The 18,327-nt window shown below is 42.4% G+C and overlaps 1 protein-coding gene and 1 long non-coding RNA gene across 5 annotated transcripts in view, besides 3 other annotated features; one reads left to right on the top strand and one right to left on the bottom strand.

The window, feature by feature from the left end:
• LACTB (lactamase beta) overlaps positions 1-10,277 on the bottom strand; it is a 20,201-nt gene extending 9,924 nt beyond the window's left edge. Inside the window, exons 1-6 of one of the 4 annotated variants that reach the window (XM_047432128.1) lie at positions 9,910-10,277; positions 9,436-9,502; positions 5,089-5,279; positions 4,449-4,785; positions 2,488-2,653; positions 671-1,152 (exon numbers count right to left, since the gene is read on the bottom strand). In XM_047432128.1, coding sequence (XP_047288084.1) covers positions 1,008-1,152; positions 2,488-2,653; positions 4,449-4,785; positions 5,089-5,279; positions 9,436-9,502; positions 9,910-10,266 — 1,263 coding nt within the window. In that variant the 5' untranslated portion in view covers positions 10,267-10,277 and the 3' untranslated portion in view covers positions 671-1,007. Of the gene's footprint in view, positions 1-670; positions 2,654-4,448; positions 4,786-5,088; positions 5,280-9,435; positions 9,503-9,909 lie in introns of those variants that run through there. The other 3 variants (NM_032857.5, NM_171846.4, NM_001288585.2) reach the window with 3 other exon arrangements.
• Positions 9,519-9,708: a silencer, noted in NCBI's record as "silent region_6510". NCBI's record gives its function as "represses an Ori minimal core promoter by ATAC-STARR-seq in GM12878 lymphoblastoid cells {active_cell/tissue: GM12878}" and the evidence as "EXISTENCE:reporter gene assay evidence [ECO:0000049][PMID:35858748]".
• Positions 9,719-9,788: a silencer, noted in NCBI's record as "silent region_6509". NCBI's record gives its function as "represses an Ori minimal core promoter by ATAC-STARR-seq in GM12878 lymphoblastoid cells {active_cell/tissue: GM12878}" and the evidence as "EXISTENCE:reporter gene assay evidence [ECO:0000049][PMID:35858748]".
• Positions 9,809-10,388: a silencer, noted in NCBI's record as "silent region_6508". NCBI's record gives its function as "represses an Ori minimal core promoter by ATAC-STARR-seq in GM12878 lymphoblastoid cells {active_cell/tissue: GM12878}" and the evidence as "EXISTENCE:reporter gene assay evidence [ECO:0000049][PMID:35858748]".
• On the top strand, positions 10,371-18,327 carry LOC107984798 (uncharacterized). The gene is made up of 2 exons (XR_001751584.1): positions 10,371-11,398; positions 17,982-18,327. It is a non-coding gene; the product is annotated as an uncharacterized LOC107984798 (long non-coding RNA).

Genomic DNA, 18,327 nt, shown 5'->3' with positions numbered 1-18,327 from the left:
ATTTAAGTCCAAACCTCAGCATTATATAATATCCATGTAACAAACCTGCACATGTACACCCTGAATCTAAAATAATAATTACAAAAAGAAATTAGGGGATTACCATGTTAGCTACATATCTAAAGGGCAGTGTGGCCCCACTGATAACTATGTTACATAATCATCATATTCTTTTTTTTTTTTGTTGGGGGCGGTGACAGAGTCTTGCTCTGTTACTCAGACTAGAGTGTAGTGGGGCGACCTCAGCTCACTACAACCTCCACCTTCTGGGATCAAACAATCCTCCCACCTCAGCCTCCCGAGTAACTAGGACTACAGGCACGCACCACCATGCCTGGCTAATTTTTGTATTTTTTGTGGAGACGGGGTCTCACTATGTTGCCCTAGCTAGTCTCAAACTCTTGGGCTCAAGCAATCCTCCTGCCTTGGCCTCCCAAAGTGCTGGGATTACAGGTGTGAACCACTGTGCCTAGTCATAACATGTATTCTTTTTGAAAGAAAATGTATGTACTTAATTGAATTATTTGCTAGATGTTGGTCTGTAAGCTCCTGGAGGGCAGGAGCTATGTCAGGTTAGCTCTATTATGTGGTATAGTATGTGGCATGTAGTATTTGCTTAATAAATATTTACAAATGTAAGGCAAAACAAAACAAAAAATACACATATAGGTAAGCAATCTAATAACCATTTACTGTTACAGTTTTATTATTTCATATACTATTTTAAAAGCAACATATTAAATAATGACAGTGACAGATTATAACTCATTGACTAAAATAAGAATCCATGAGTGCATACTGGTATGAATAAATAAATAAGAGAGAAGGGAAAGCACTTTTTTTTCTGAGATGGAGTCTCACTTTGTCGCCCAGGCTGGAGTGCAGTGGCATGATCTTGGCTCACTGCAACCTCTGCCTCCTGGGTTCAAGAGATTCTCCTGCCTCAGACTCCCGAGCAGCCGAGATTACAAGTGTATGCCACCATGCCCGGCTGATTTTTTGTATTTTCAGTAGAGATGGGGTTTCGCCATGTTGGCCAGGCTGGTCTCAAACTTGGTCTCATGTGATCCGCCCACCTCAGCCTCCCAAAGTGATGGGATTACAGGCGTGAGCCACCGCCCCGGCCCGCACCTTCTTATAATAGAATGCCAACTGATAAATACAGAATGGATGATGGAATTAGAAAATCACCATTTGACAACCATCACTGTAATAACTGATTCAGTCATGAATCACTGATAGATGCTAAAACTAGTAGAAAGTTTGATGAGAAAGAGGATTTTTACATCATCTCAAATTATCTCCTCCAAATATACTTGTTAATTATAAAGTAAAAATAGTAACTTTACAATAACCTGACAGGCACCACCTCAAAAAGTGATTAAAATACCATCAGCAATAATGGGACAAACTGATGTCAAGTGACTTCTGATAGATATGACAAGTAAATGCAATGTGAGATCATGGATTAGATCCTAGACCAGAAAAAAAAGTTTTTCTGCTCTTTTGCTATAAAGGACATTATTGGAACAACTGGCAAAATTTGAGTAAGGTCTGTAGATTTAATAAAAGCATTGTATCTATGTTAATTTCCCAAATGTCCTTTTTTTTTTTTTTTTTTTCCTTTTTTGACATGGAGTCTCACTCTTTCGCCCAGCCTGAAGTGCAGGGGCACGATCTTGGCTTACTGCAACTCCACCTCCTGGGTTCAAGCGATTCTCCTGCCTCAGCCTCCCGCGTGGCTGGGATTATAGGCACCCGCCACCACACCTGGCTAATTTTTGCATTTTTAGTAGAGAGAGGGTTGATTTCACCACATTGGCCAGGCTGGTCTTGAACTCCTGACCTCAGGTGATCCACCCACCTCGGCCTTCCAAAGTGTTGGGATTACAGGCGTGAGCCACTGCACCCGGCCCTGAATGTCCTTGTTTTTAGAAAATACACATGTAAATATTTATAGGTAAAGGGGTATCACGTCTACAACTTATTTCCAAATGGTTCAGAAACAAACACATATGTAGACAGAAAGGTAATGCAAATGCGGTAAACTAACATTAAGGGAATCTGAGTAAAGAGGATATGTGAATCCTTTGTACTACTCTTGCAACTTTTCTATAAGTATAAAATTATTTCAAAACAGTATGAAAACAATTAAAAACTAATAACACGTAAACAAAGTATTAGTTAAAACCTAAAAAAGGAATGGTTAAAGAGCAAATTACAGATGCTCATGGTGGGTGCAATTTTGGTTTAGTTATTCATGTTTGAATTATTAATATTATTGCTATCTTTCATCAAAGGGTCTTAGTGTACTTTATAAACATGTTTTACTTCCTTCACTTTACAGATGAGAAAACAGACATGTAGAAAAGCTCCCAAAATGTGGCAGGTTGATTTTGGAATGGAAACAAAGAAAATTTGACTTTTAATTAATAAAATAGTGTTAAGATGCGATATAGCTAGACACAGCAGAAGGTATTCATTTACCTTGCTCTATTGTAAATCACTGGCTCGTTTTCTTCCTGCACAGTCGTCAGCATATCCAAGTCATGGAATATTTTCTGCATATAGTCCAAATATTTACATCCTGAAGCTCTCTCTACTATGGCTGCCAGTAGGGTATAGCCAAAAGTTGAATACAAAAACTGACTACCTTGAGACATCATTGCGAGGAGGAAAAAAATAAAATACTTGATTATTATTCAAAAACATATAAAATATATTCCCACTGAAAATTGGCATACTTTTAAAACTGGAATATTTTACTTCAGCATTCAGAAAAAGAACACAGGCAATACATCAACAAATTGAGTTAACTTTGCAACTGTCCTTATTCCAAGTCCTTAACACAAGAATAAAATTATGATCAGCATACTTAACATTTCACATAAATCTGCTCCTTTCTCTGATAATAAAGTAAGCAAATAAATCCTACCTCAAAACAAAACAAAAATATTTCAAAGTGACAACAAAACAGGAACAGAAAGAAAAGAAAAGCAAATTTGATTTCTTGAGTCAACTTTGTTCTTAATATACCTCTACTCATTGTTTAGGGCATAAATGGGCAAACACGTTCTTATTTTAATAAAATATATGGGTCAGGAGCGGTGGCTCACTCCTGTGTCCTAGCACTTTGGGAGGCCAAGGGGGGAGGATCACCTGAGGTCAGGAGTTCGAGACCAGCCTGGCCAACATGGTGAAACCCTGTCTCTACTAAAATACAAAAATTAGCCAGGTGTGGTGGCGGGCACCCATAATCCCAGCTACTCAGGGGGCTGAAGAAGGAAAATCGCTTAAACCCAGGAGGCAGAGTTTGCAGTGAGCTGAGATCCCGCCACTGTACTCCAGCCTGGGTGACAGGGCCAGACTCCATCTCAAAATAAATAAATAAATAAAATAAAATAAAATAAATGTAGGCACACAAACTTTGTTTCAAATACATATTTGAATTTAAATATATATTCAAATATACATAGTATTTCAAATAAATAACTTTATATCATTTTGGGTTCTGGACAAACTCAAACTGGTTTGAGACAGGGTCTTGCTCTTGCTGTTGCCCAAGCTAGAGTAAAGTGGTATGATCACAACCCACTACAACTTTGAACTCCTGGGCTCAGGGATCCTCCCGCCTCAGCCTCCTGAGTAGCTAGGACTACTTACACACACAGGCCACTGAACCTGGCTAATTTAAAATTTTTTTTGGAGAAACAGGGCCTTGCTTTGTTGCCCAGACTAGTCTTAAACTCCTGGGCTCAAGCGATCCTCCCACTTTTCCCTCTGTAAGTGCTGGGATTATAGGCGTGAGCCAACTGTGCCCAGCATGGAACTTTATTTTTAAGATAAAATCCATAATTATATCTTATTTGCTCTTATTAGTCATATCTATAAAATATCTATTCAACTAAAAGCTTTTAAAATGAAAAATGAATATAAGTATATCAAACTATGGTAAATTTAGATATTAAGTAGCTTCAATAGGCACCAAATCAAAAAATAAAACAAAGATAATTATTTGTATAGAGCAGATTTTTGGCAAAAAATTAGTGATGAACACTCATTTCTTTAAGAAATAAAGGCACAAAATAAGTTGAGCAATTTAAATTCTAACTAAATACTAAAATATCAGCAATACCTTATCATGTCTACTTTGGTCCAGGTTGTATTTAGAGAACTATTATTCCAACATTTCTCCATAAGTTTGCATGAACATCTTGATACTGAGAATCCTCTAAATGACTGGGTAGTCTCCAATGAGGCAAAATTTAAACAAGCTGCCTGGATGCTAGGCTTTGTTAGAAACTACAGACAAAAACGCAAGCACCAGACTAGTCCGTATCACAATCATCAACCTCAATGAATGCACTCCGGATGGTATCATTTTGGATTTCCTGAAAATTAACATTTCAGTAATGATGATTTTGTTAAGAGAAGGGATTAACACTCACCAGGTTTGAAGAACAAAGGATCATTTTTAAATAATCTTAGGGATTCAATTGAATTTTCAAACTTTTCTCTCAAATATAATTCGCCTTGTTCAAAATCATTCTTTTTCTTGCCAGGTTTTGAATTCCGGCATTTGGCTTCATTCTCCTGCTCTGTTTTAAATTTAGTAAAATCATTCTTTTCATTACTTTTGCCTTCTTTTTCTTGCTCAAATGCAACATTCTCTTTCATCATCTTCAAGGCTTTATAAGCTTTCTCTTCTTTCACCTTTTTTATGTCCTTTTCATAATGACGAATTCCACTTAAATGGGAAATCAGTAATCTTGTTGTGACAGAAACCTAATTGTAAAAACATGAAAATTCAATTACAATATTAACCTGAAAAATAGAAAGTTAGTTGCCTCGGAATAATGTCTCAGTAATATTTTCCACTTAGAACTGCTGCTGGGAAAATGTCATGTACAAATCCTTAGCCTCAAATTTCAGAAAAATACCTACCTGATTATCATCTGGATTAAGAAAAACTAATACATTAACAATAACTAAAAACAAGCCAAAGAATCCTATGAAACATTTTAAATATAAATTCCAGCATAAACCATTTAACATGCCATTAGTAAAATGAACTGTGAGTTTCAGTACCTTTTCACCTTCATATTCTTTTTCTGGGAATTCGGGAACATAATGTTGTACTGGAATATCAAGATCCAGTTTCCCTGCTTCCCACAATTTGGCAAGAGCAACCATGGTGAGACTTTTGCTGATGCTAGCAATTCGCATAACTGTCTCTGGTTTACATGGTACACGGTTCTCAACATCAGCATAACCTAAACCTTTGGGGGAAAAAAGCAAAAAGTCACTATTAACAGGCTTCATGGTCAAACAAGTTTTCAAACCCTGAAATAATACTATCTTTAAACATGCTGTGTTTATCTAAAAGAAAAGATACTCCACTTTTATAAGTTACTTAACACTGGACATGTAAAGGATTAAAATCTTAGTATATCGGTAAGCCTAACAATTTAACCTTATAACTAAAGTGAAATTGTACCCTGTTTGCAATAGCAATTTTCTATGACTTAGATACAAATTTTTCTTAGCTTATCTAAACAACTGAGTTATTCCACATTTTAAATAAAGTATTCTTTAAAGAAAACATCATTATTCTTCTTCAGATTATATTTATTTTTGACTTTTGAGTAAATTTCCACTGAATTCCTTGAAATAGCCACTCAATAAAAGTAAGTGTGGGCCGGGCATGGTGACTCATGCCTATAATCTGAGCACTTTGGGTGGCCAAGGTGAGCAGATCACCTGAGATTGGGAGTTCAAGACTAGCCTGGCCAACATGGTAAAACCCCGTCTCTACTAAAAATACAAAAATTGGCCAGTCATGGTGGCGTGTGCCTGTAATCCCAGCTACTCGGGAGGCTGAGGCAGGAGAATCGCTTGAACCTTGGAGGCAGAGGTTGCGGTGAGCTGAGAAAACGCCACTGCACTCCAGCCAGGGCGACAAAGTGAAACTGTCTCAAAAATGTGTGAAAAGATGTCCTGCAAACCAAATCTAGCTAACCATCAATTTAATTCGACTGCAAACCAGGAGGAAAATTATGTACTAACTTAAAGCTTTTTCTAGAAAAAATTTTAAATTTGGTTTCCATGTTCTCACAGGCTGAAAGTGCGTAAATCTAACTAAGAAAGAGAAAGTGCCTGCAATCCCAGCACTTTGGGAGGCGGAGACGGGTGGATTACTTGAGCTCAGGATTTCGAGACTAGCCTGAGCAACATGGCAGAAACCGCATCTCTACAAAATATACAAAAAAAAAAAAGAAAGAAAGAAAGAAAAAAGCCTGGCGTGGTGGAGTGCACCTGTAGTCTCAGCTAGTCAGGAGGCTGAGGTGGGAGAATCATCTGAGCCCAGGAGTTTGAGATTGCAGTGAGCCAAGATCACACCACTGCACGCCAGCCTGGGAGACACAGTAAGAGACCCTGTCCAAAAAATAAATAAATAAATAAATAAAAAGAGAACAGAGATCTGAAAAGAAAAGGAATACAATGACTATAAATTTGTATAATCTTAAATATCTAAAAAATATTTGCATAAAGTCCATAAAGCTGACATTTATATAATTTTTGATTACAAGACTTATCATAAATTAGGTATAATGATTAGATTATACTTATACTTGAAGGAAGAATCATTTTCCTTTTTTAAAAAATTTTAAGCTGGGCACGGTGGCTCACGCCTGTAATCCCAGCACTTTGGGATGCCGAGGCAGGCGCATCACCTGAGGTCGGGAGTTCGAGACCAGCCTGACCAACATGGAGAATCCCCGTCTCTACTTAAAATACAAAAATTAGCCAGGCGTGGTGGTGCATGCCTGTAATCCCAGCTAATCGGGAGGACGAGGCAGGAGAATCACTTGAACCTGGGAGGTGGAGGTTGTGGTGAGCTGAGATCGCACTATTGCACTCCAGCCTGGGCAACAAGAGTGAAACTCCAAAAAAAAAATAAATAAATAAAATTTTTTTTATAGAGACACAGGTGTCGCTATGGTGCCTAAGCTGGTCTCAAACTTCTGGTCTTCAGCCATCCTTCCTCCCTGGACTCCCTAAGCGCTGGGATTACAGGCGTGCGCCACCTCAACTGGCCCATTTTTCTTCAAATTCAAACCCCTACTGCGCCCATCAACTTACTGCCTTTAAATGGCATATGAAACATTTTTTTTTCTTTTTTTTTGAGACAGAGTCTCGCTGTTGCCCAGGCTGGAGTGCAGTGAACGATCTTGGCTCACTGCAAACCTCCGCCTCCCGAGTTCAAGCGATTCTCGTATCCTGGCCTCCCGAGTAGCTGAGATTACAGGCACGCACTAGCATGGCTGGCTAATTTTTTGTGTTTTTAGTAGAGATGGGGTTTTGCCACGTTGTCCAGGCTGGTCTCGAACTCCTAAGCTCAGGCAACCCACCTGCCTCTGCCTCTCAAAGTGCTAGGATTACAGGCGTGAGCCACTGCACCTGGCCTGAAACATCATTTTCTAAAAGTGGGACTCCTAGAAACCTAGGATGACCAATTAGATCAATTTCTGTGCAACAGAGAAGTTATGAAAAATAATGCCTTGATAAAAGTATCATAAAATGAATAGAAATCCCTCTCCCTAAGTTTTTTGCCTTCTGTTTGAAAAAAATAGATGACACCTCTACCTGGTTAAAAAGCCTAATAAAGTAGACTGAAAAGTCATTAAAGACAAGGAATAGTGTGTGGGCGGCAAGCCACCCAGGCGCTGAGGCAAGAGACCGAGGACACGAGCTGTTCCAGTATAATAAAATATAAAACAAGAATAGTTATACCAGATATAGATCTTAGATATGATTATATATATCATTAATCTTATTAGTTTGTAGCAATTAGTCTTTATTCCAATATTATAATAATCCTTGCTCTATAATCATAGCCAAGGAAAAACCAGGCCATACAGAGATAGGAGCTGAGGGGACACAGTGAGGAGTGACCAGAAGACAAGACTGCGAGCGTTCTGTTACGCCCAGACAGGGCCACCAGAAGGACTCCTTGGTCTAGCGGTAACGCCAGCATCTAGGAAGACGCCCGTTGCCAGCCGGACCGTGGTCTAGCGGTAGCGAAGAGCGTCAAGAAAAAACACCCGCTACTTAGTAGAACCAGAAAGGGAGTCTCCTTTTCTCCGGGGGAGTTTAGAGAAGACTCTGCTCCTCCACCTCTTGTGGAGGGCCTGACATCAGTCAGGCTTGCCCGCAGTTATCCGGAGGCCTAACCGTCTCCCTGTGATGCTGTGCTTCAGTGGTCACGCTCCTAGTCCGCCTTCATGTTCCATCCTGTACACCTGGCTCTGCCTTCTAGATAGCAGTAGTCAATTAGTGAAAGTACTAAAAGTCTCTGATATGCAGAAATAATGGCATAAGCTGTCTTTCCCTCTGTCTCCTCTCCCTCTCTGCCTCGGCTGCCAGGCAGGGAAGGGCCCCCTGTCCAGTGGACACGTGACCCACGTGACCTTACCTATCATTGGAGATGACCCACACTCTTTACCCTGCCCCTTTTGCTTTGTATCCAATAAATAACAGCGCAGCCAGACATTCGGGGCCACTACCGGTCTCCGCGCATTGGTGGTAGCGGTCCCCCGGGCCCAGCTGTCTTTTCTTTTATCTCTTTGTCTTGTGTCTTTATTTCTACACTCTCTCGTCGCCGCACACAGGGAGAGACCCACCGACCCTGTGGGGCTGGTCCCTACAATAGTGTATAACCCCAGTACTTAGCACTTTGCTTTTTACGGAAGAGAGGCCTCAAGAAATTGTTAACTTAATTAAAAAAGAAAACTTCACAAATTCTGAGTTTTATCTACCCATAAGTGTTACCTGCAAGTACTCAGTTAATGGATTGTTCTACACAGTAGTTACCCCTTATCTGTGGTTTCGCTTTCCTCAGTTTCAGTTATCCATGGTCCGAAAGTATTAAATGGAAAATTCCAGAAATAAACAATTCGTAAGCTTTAAATTGCATGCCACTCAGAGTATTGTTGTGATTGTTCTATTTTATTATTGTTGCTAATCTCTTACTATGCCTGATTTATAAACTTTATCATAGATATGTATATATAAGATAAAATATAGTATATACAGGGTTCAATATCATCCACTTTTTCAGGCATCCACTGAGGGTCTTGGAATATATCCCCAGGATAAGGAGGGACTACTGTATAAAACTTTCAGACTAATAAATCCAGTCCTAAGAGAAAAGTGGGAGTGGGTAGCCATCCTCATGACTCCAATTTATTAGTCACATTTTAAACCTTACCGTGATTTAAAAACACCTGACTCTTTATTATGTTAGATGTTTTCTCTACAATATGCATCGTTTTATGTAAATGCAATAGCATTTCATGGGATCCACTCTAACCAGTAAAACAATATTTTATTTACCAACTGGCACAGAACAAAACAACAATTTTCTGAACCCACCTTCTGACCAGACTTCTTTTCCATCTACAGAAACTCCAACCACTATGCCCGGTGCGCCCACCTCATCCTAAGACCGAAGGGGAAAGAACCGACAGTTACGGGCCTGCTGAAAAAGCCCAGCGCTCTCCTCGGGGACCTTCCAAGGCCCCGCCCCCTGAGCCTGGGCCCCGCCCCCTCCACCTGGGCCCCGCCCACCTCGTCCCAGGCCATGGTCACTCACTAACAGCAAGGGATGTGCCTGTCCGCCCCCTAGGGGGAAGGGGCGGTCCCCGAGACAGGCGGTGACCTCCACCCAGATTTGGGGAACCCCCAAGAGCGTCTGACCACGGCTCGGCGGTGGGGAAATGGGAAGTCTTTCTCGGAAGCCGATCGCGGGCACCCCGCCGCCCCGGGTGGGGTCCACTCAGCCCCCGACAGCACCGCCGACAGGGGTGGATCCCCGGCCCCCTACGCCCCCCGCTCCAGTGGCCGCACCTTGATCCTGTGCAGCAGGTCGCGGCTGCTCTCGATGGCTCTGGCGAAGCACCTGGAGCAGGGCGGCGCCGGGGTCTGCGGAGACCACGGGGCGAGGGACTGCTCCTGTGGCGGCTCGGCCAGAGGCGACGCCTCAGGGTCGGGGGCCGCGGGGGACTGCGCCGGGGCCGCGCCCCTCAGCCCACCTGCCAGCTTCACCCCGAGCGCCAGCCCCAGCCCCAGCCCGAGGCCCCCGACCCAGCCGTGGCCGAGAGGCGGCAGCCCGGCGCGCTGATGGACCCCGCGTCGTCCGCAGCTTGAGGCCAAGCCCCCGGGGGCGGCAGCCCGGGCAGTCACTGCTGACATGAGCCGGTACATGGCGTCTCTGCACAGCCGGCCGCCACCAAACTCACGCACACCCTGCCAGCCGCGGCGCGGGGCGGAGGGAAGGGCAGGGGGCGGGACGGGGGTGGGGACCGCGGTCAGACCCTAGCAGTCGACGCCTGACTACCCGAGCGCCGATCGCATCGAGCCCTTCTTCCTCTCCCTTTTCTTGTCTCTTCCTTGTTTTTCCTTTCTGTCTCTCTTTCCTTTTTTTCCTTTGCTTACCCTCAGATCAAGCGTCACCTCCCAGAAGCCTTCCTAGTTCCCGTCCCATGGGAGTTCTCGCCCTTACCATCTTGCCCCTCAGTGTGCACACTTCTTTAACAACAGTTAACACTTTGTATCATTTAACTACTTGTCAGATTCCTTACCAGAGTGGGACTTCTTTGGGGAGCCTAGACTTAGTTTTGGATCCTCAACTTCTGGAACAGCGCAGGGCACACAGTAGACGCTCAGCAGGCATCTCCTTTCCCTTTAGAGATGCCTTTCTCCTTTCCTTTCCCTTTCTCCTTTCCCCCTTTAGAACGCGCTTCTTTTCACTCTCTTGCCATCTCCCTTATGTCTCATTTCAATTCACCCATTTCCCTAAAGATGTTTTAAAATCTATTGCTTCTGGAATTCTAGCTCCACACCGTACCAAAGACATGAAGTTACATCCAGACCTTATATTACCTTTCTTTTGCTATAAAAGATAAAGTGTTTTTTAAAAATTTCGTGCTTGAAAAATTTTAATCCAAAAGTAACTATTATAATTTACAATTACCTATGATTTCTCAGCATCTGTAAATGATCAGACATTCTTGTGAAATAAGAAACCTAATCTCAAATTGCTACAAAATGTAAAATGTGTATAAAATCCTAGTTTAACGTGTAATGAAATTGATATGTTAATTTGAAGTTACTTAAACATTTATCAGTTTTGTAATTTTTATATTTTGGGATACATACATACACACACACACACACACACACACACACACAATCTTTGAAAGCTTGTAGGCTTTATACCTTCAGCACTGGGGCAATATGCCCCATATACAAAATGGCCCTGTCTTTTCTTGCAGGTGGAATAAAGAAGAGAGCTCACAGACTTGAACTGACAAGCCATCAGGACAAACATATTGAGGTAATAAACTTACTGAGTAAACATATACATACCTCAAAATAAATATATTGAGGTAATAATTATTTAATAGGAGGAAAAGGCAATAATGGTATCCATACCTAGCAAGAAAATAGTGGGGCTAAATAAGTAAAGCTTCTGGGGCTACTCACAAAACCCAAGACTCCAAGAGACCAGAATATCCTAGGACCCAGAGCGTTTGACACTGAAACTGCAGTTATAGTGGACAGATGTACTCTATTAAGATAGTACTGGAGGTTCCCACGGTGGGGGTCACCACTACTCCAAGAACATGAGAGAAAAAATATAAAGAGAAAAATGTAAAAGACGCAGTCAGTGGTGGTTATGAGTGCCCACTTTTATTTAAACTGTACATAATTTTTCTTTAAACTGTACATATGTTACTGAAACACCAAGGGTTTAGCCTAGATCCCATTGCTCGCCACACAGAAAGCCAGTCACCAAGACAATGAGTATCGCCGGGGGAAAACAAAGCTTTTTCAGGTGCTGCAGCCAGGGAAACGGGAGTTCAGTCTCAAGTCCATTTCCTCAGCTAACTAAAATTAGGGGTTTATATAGCAAGGAAGAAATGTAACTATGTGTGGGGAAACAGGAAATAGGGAGGGATAAGGAAGAAGAATTGTTCAACAGGAAGCAGGTGGTTGGTTAGGCCGGGGGTCCCAACCCCTGGGCCATGGACTAGTTAGGAACTGGGCCACACAGCAGGAGGTGAGTGGCAGGTGAGGGAGCATTATTGCCTGAGCTCCACCTCCTGTCAGATCAGTCATGACCTTAGATGCTCATAGGAGCTCGAACCCTATTGTGAACTGCGCATGTGAGGGATCTAGGTTGCTTGCTCCTTATGATAATCTAACTAATGCCTGATGATCTGAGGTGGAACAGTTTCATCCTGAAACCATACCCATCAGCCCCAACCCCACACCCCATGGAAAAACTTTCTTCCATGAAACCTGTCCCTGGTGCCAAAAAAGCTGGGAACCGCTGGGTTAGGCAATCATGACAGGTGAAGGATCTGGTGTCTCATTGTCCAAATGTGGTGATCTGGTAAGTTTCAGTTTCTTGATACTATCTGGGAGACCTGATGGTTGGTTTCCTCCAAAAGGAACTCAGATAAGACAAATGTAAGTTTCTCAAGTTTTAAGACTGGGCAGGTCAATTTTCTCTCTTTATTCAAAATAAACCATAAACATATTCTATTGGACAATTGGGCTGGTTTCACATATGTGTTTTTTGCACTCTTCTGTACCTCTCCTTGGATAAAAAATAAAAAAAGAAACAGAGCCCTGTGTTTGCCATGTACAGGGCAAAAGCCAATGTCCTGGTGGACTTCCAGTCTAGAAGCAGGTACAGAGAGGCCATTTGAAGTATGGCTTCTGGGAAGTGTTAACCTAAAAGGAAGAGGCTGAGGCACAAAATATAATTTAAAGACTTTACTTTAGCCAAAGTGAGGACAGCTGCCCTGAAGACTCAGACCCAAGGAAACTTGGAATGAGCTCCCCATTAAGGGGAGCTCCCCTGTCCTCCTTTGCCTTTAAAGGCAAAAAAAGGGGGACAGGGAATGGGCTGATACAAAGTTGTTTGTCAGGGATCCCCATTGGTTTACAGAAATAACAATGATTGGCTATATACATTGTTAAGCAACAGGGTATGGGTTCTAGCGTCTGGTGCCCCATTATTAGGTTAATTTATAACTACTCGTGGCAACAGCAAGCAGTTTCAAGAGATGAATACATAGCTTATTGTGGGGGTAGGACATGAATGCCATCTCTTTTTTTTTTTTTTTTTTTTTAAGATAAGGTCTCACTCTGTTGCCCTGGCTGGAGTGCAGTGGCGTGATCATGGCTCATTGCAGCCCCAACCTCCCAGGCTCAGGTGATCCTCCCACCTTAGCCTCTTGAGTAGCTAGGACCACAGGCATGCACCACCACACCTGGCTAATTTTTGTATTTTTTTTAGAGATGGGCTTTCGCCATGTTGCCCAGGTTGATCTCAAACACCTGGGCTTAAGCGATCCTCCCACCTCGACCTCCCAAAGTGCTGGGATTACAGGTGTGAGCCACAATACTCAGCCACCATCTCATTTTAATGTCTCCCTGGGCCTGATAATTTGAAAGGACTTGCATTCTTCACATAAAAGTTATTTTCTTTTCTCAGAAGGTAACAGAAAATAAATTGTTCTCCAGCAAGCTGAGTGCCCAGGAGGCAACCTGACCAAGCAGCCTGCAGACTTGTTGGCAGGATCTTTACTACAACTCTAGGGCAGGAGCCCAGAGCCCCAGCATTTGAGCTGGCTTTGGGGTGGGAGCCGCAGAGACCAGATAGAAGAAAGGTAAACAGGCCAGGCGCGGTGGCTCACTCCTGTAATCCCAGCACTTTTGGAGGCTGAGGCAGGTGGATCACGAGGTTAAGAGATCAAGACCAGCCTGGCCAACATGGTGAAACCCCGTCTCTACTAAAAATACAAAAATTAGCTGGGCATGGTGGCACATACTTGTAGTCCCAGCTACTCGGGAGGCCGAGGCAGGAGAATCACTGGAACCCGGGAGGCGGAGGTTGCAGTGAGCTGAAATCACGCCACTGCACTGCAGCCTAGATGACAGAGCGAGACTTTGTCTCAAAAAAAAAAATAAATAAAAAAGGTAAATGACTACACATGGAGAAGAATGGGAAGAGAGAAAAAAAGTGAGGAAAAGGGGAAGGAAAGAAACTTTCCACTAAAAATAAATCTGCAAACCAAGTTTCCAAAACATATTTTTAAAAGTTTTCTAAAAAACACTGACAATAAAATCAACCACCAAATTGTGAAATCACCCCAAACAAAATAAAATCAGTAGAAGGATATACAGGAAAAGAGGAAAAAGAGAGGCCTTTCCCTGGCTAAGAAAAAGATGGGTGATAGAAAATAAAACAAATATATATATTTTAAAACAAATATATATTTTTAAATATATATTTTTATATATTGAAATATATAAAACAAGTATATATAAAATATTTTTTATATATTTGTGTATTTATATATTTTATATATTTGTTGAAAATATATATAAAAGATAAATAAATGTATAATATCTACACAACAAAAAAGGAATTACAAAACAAAATAGGAATAAATGAAGCAAAACCATATAAATATGAAAATGCACTTATCAGAAATTGGGGAAATAAAAGATCATGAGAGAACTTTAATATCATCTCTTCTGAAGCTGGAGCTACAGTTTTGATGGACTGCTGTAACTGCGTCCAAAGCTTGTACTGCTCACCACACAACAGCCAATCAGTCAAGAGACAGGCGTTGGAGCAGGGAAGATGACTTTATTCTGTGGAGCCAGCAAACCAAGATGGCAGACTACTGTCCTAAAGAAGCATCTTAAGTAAATGTGAATGTTGGGCTCCTTTTATGTTAGGGGAGGGGGAAAACGGGAAGAGGCTTAGGTCAAAAGGTGACCAGTGACCACAGACATCTGGGTGGCAGCAAGGGTAAGCTTCTTTGTCTTTGTCAGGTCACAGTGCTCTTACAAATTTTTAACATAACATTGTTACTTATGTGTATACCCATCTTATCTCCTTGGGGGTTAGTTTTGGGGAGGGACTAATCATCCTTGCTTTAAAGTTAAACTATAGGCTGGGCACGGTGGCTCACACCCAGCAATCTAGGAGGCCAAGGTGGGAGGATTGCTTGAGCCCAGGAGTTTGAGACCAGCCCTGGCAACATAGTGAGACCCGTTCTCTACAGAAAATTTTAAAAAATTAGCCGGGCATGGTGGCCTGTGACTACCAGCTACTTGGGAGGCTGAGGTGGAAGGACTGCTGACCCTGGGAGGTCGAGGCTGCAGTGAGCTGTGATCATGCCTCTGAACTCCAGCCTGGGTGACAGAGCGAGACCCTGTCTCAGGAAAACAAAACAAAATACTGAGTGGGACTCAGACAGAAACCACTGGTACACCAATAGAAACTTCTGTCCAACAACTCAGAATAGACATAGTCCCAGCCCTCCTGGAACTTGCAGTCTATACGGTAATAGAGTCATGATAAACAGAACGGCAAGATTAAATGTAAAATCCTAGTTGTAATGAGTGCTGTGAAGGAGAGGTGCATACTGTGTTGAGAGGTTATAATGTGAGATGTTATCTGATCTGGGAGATGAAGGAAGACTTTCCTAATGAAATGAAATTACATCCAAGACTTTAAGGATAAACAGGAATTACCTTGGTTAAGTATGGGCAGAAAGAGAAGGGAAGTGTTCCATGCAAGGAATTAGCAAATGCTAAGGCCTTGTGGTGGGAAGAGGCGGTTTCATTCAAGGAATTAAAAGATAGTCATGGGCCAGGTGTGGTGGCTCATGCCTGTAATCCCAGCACTGTGGGAGGCCAAGGCAGGCAGATCACCTGAAGTCAGGAGTTCAAGACCAGCCTGGACAACATGGCGAAACCCCATCTCTACTAAAAATACAAAAATTAGCCAGGTGTGGTAGTGTGCACCTGTAATTCCAGCTACTAGGGAGGCTGAGGCAGGAGAATCACTTGGTCCTAGGAGGCAGAGGTTGCAATGAGCTGAGATTGTGCCACTGCACTCCAGCCTGGGCAACAGAGTGAGACCCCGTCTCAAAAAAAAAAAAAAAGATAGTCATGGTGGGTGGAGTAGAGAACTAAGGGGCGTGAGGTAAGAGATGAGGCTGAGGACTGACCATCCAGTACCTTATCTCCTTCTGCTGCTATTTCTTTAGAAGAAGGAATGCTCTTCTACAGCTGCTTCTAGCCACAAGTCCTGTCCTACTATATCTCAGTATAGTGTATACTATTAACCACATTAACAAGCTAAAAAAGAAAAATCACATGATCATATCAATTGATGCAGACATATCAATCATTAGGCAAAACACATTCATGACCGAAAAAACCCTTAGGAAAATAGGAATAGAGAAAAACTTCTTCAAATTGATAAAGAACATCTACAAAAAAATCTATTGCTAACATTATGTTTAGTGGGAAAGACATACGAAGCAAGTATGTCCACTCTAATCTTTCTTATTCAACAAGGTGCTAGAAATTATATCGAGTGCAATAAGGCAAGAAAGACAATTAAAAGCACACAGATCAAAAAGAAAGAGATAAAATTGTCCTTATTTGCAGAGGCCATGATTGCTTATGTAAACAATTTTAAAGGAGCTGGGCACAGTGGCTCATGCCTGTTAATCCCAGCACTTTGGGAGGCTGAGGCAGGCAGATTGCTTGAGGCCAGAAGTTTGAGACCAGCCTGGCCAACATGATGAAACCCTGTCTCTACTAAAAATACAAAAATTAGCTAGGCATGGTGGTGCCTGCCTGTAGTCCCAGCTACTCGGGAGGCTGAGGCACGAGAATCACTTGAACCCAGGAGGCAGAAGTTTCAGTGAGTCAAGATCACACCACTGCACTCCAGCCTGGGCAATAGGGCAAGATTCCATCTCAAAAAAAAAAAAAAAAAAAAAAAATGTTAAAGGGAAAACAAAAACCCATCACCTCCTAAAATTAGAATGTTTGTCCAGCAAGGTCGTAGGATACATGATAAGCATAAAATATCAATTATGTTTCTATGTACTCGCAATAAACTTATGGAAAAGTTTAATTAAAAAAATAAAGATGGCCAGGCGTGGTGGCTCATACCTGTAATCCTAGCACTTTGGGAGTCCAAGGCAGGCAGATTGCTTGAGCTCAGGAGTTCAAGATCAGCCTGCGTAACATGGTGAAACCCCGTCTCTACAAAAAATGCAAAAATTAGCTGGGTGTGGTGGTGTGTGCCTGTGGTCCCAGCTACTCGAGAGGCTGAAATGGGAGGATCACTTGAGCCCAGGAGGCTGAGGCTGCAATGAGACAATATTGCATCACTGCACTCCAGCCTGGGTGACAAAGTGAGACCCTGTCTCAAAAAAAAAAAAAAAAAGGTGGAATATGAACCAGGATGAATATTCTGAAACTCAAATATAACCATATCTAACTCCTGTTCAAAATGCTTTAAAGCTTAACCAATAAGAGAAAGTCCAGACTCCTATGGTTGGACATGTGGTAGGATAACCTACTGAGAAAAAAATGGGTTTTGTTTTTTCAGAATCAGGTTCACCACAAAGGAATGAACTTCATTTCCTCTTCTGCCAAGAAGGAGGCCAGGCCTCTGACCCTGGAAGGTCTGGGTTTTTCATACCCCCAAAAGGGCAGTTAACAACTGTAACTGGTTGTTTGAGAGGTCCCAATCCACCGAAGTATAAACAACGAAGGTTTTGTTTTTCCCAGTAATTGCTACCTGCTTTGCTTGGCCAAATCCCTCCCCACCAGGGTAGAGGGGAACTTTAGTGATAACTCCATCTGGTCCAACACCTTTTCCGTCACATGAAGCTATCAAAACAGTGTAATTTCAAGTGAATATTTGGTTGCTTCAGGTACTATTTCCCCTGCCAAGTCCAGTTCAATGGCCTCTCTCTAGGAGCTGACCAGGGTGCCATTTAAAGCCGCAGGGAGGTCCCGGCTGAAGCGGGTAGGTGGTGCCATCAGGAATTTACTTTCCTAGTCTGTCTCCCTTCGCTTGGCAGCAGGTGTGTGAAGCAGGCCTCACCAGTCAGAGGTGCACATTTTCAGAAGCTGGCAATGCCATTGACGGTGTTGGATGAGACATGCAGCTCTCTGGGCAGTAAGTGGCAGGGGTTCTCACAGTGTGGCAGGGCTGCCCCACTGTACCCACCACTGTATCAGGCGCAAGGCCGCTGTCAACAGCCCAGCTTCTAGGAGCACCCGAATCTTAAAAGACTCCATTCGTGTGTCCTTTACACTTGCAATCCTGGCATAATTAGAAATAACTCCACTTTCCCTCTCAAATGAGGAGATAAAATATGTAGCCATCCCACCCCATATGTTTTAATAAATTCATTTTCTATTTAA

The sequence above is a fragment of the Homo sapiens genome, chromosome 15, assembly GCF_000001405.40.
Source record: "Homo sapiens chromosome 15, GRCh38.p14 Primary Assembly".
In the NCBI taxonomy this organism is placed as follows: domain Eukaryota; kingdom Metazoa; phylum Chordata; class Mammalia; order Primates; family Hominidae; genus Homo; species Homo sapiens.
Note: the sequence above shows the minus strand (reverse complement) of the source record. Positions and strands in the feature narration are given on the sequence as shown.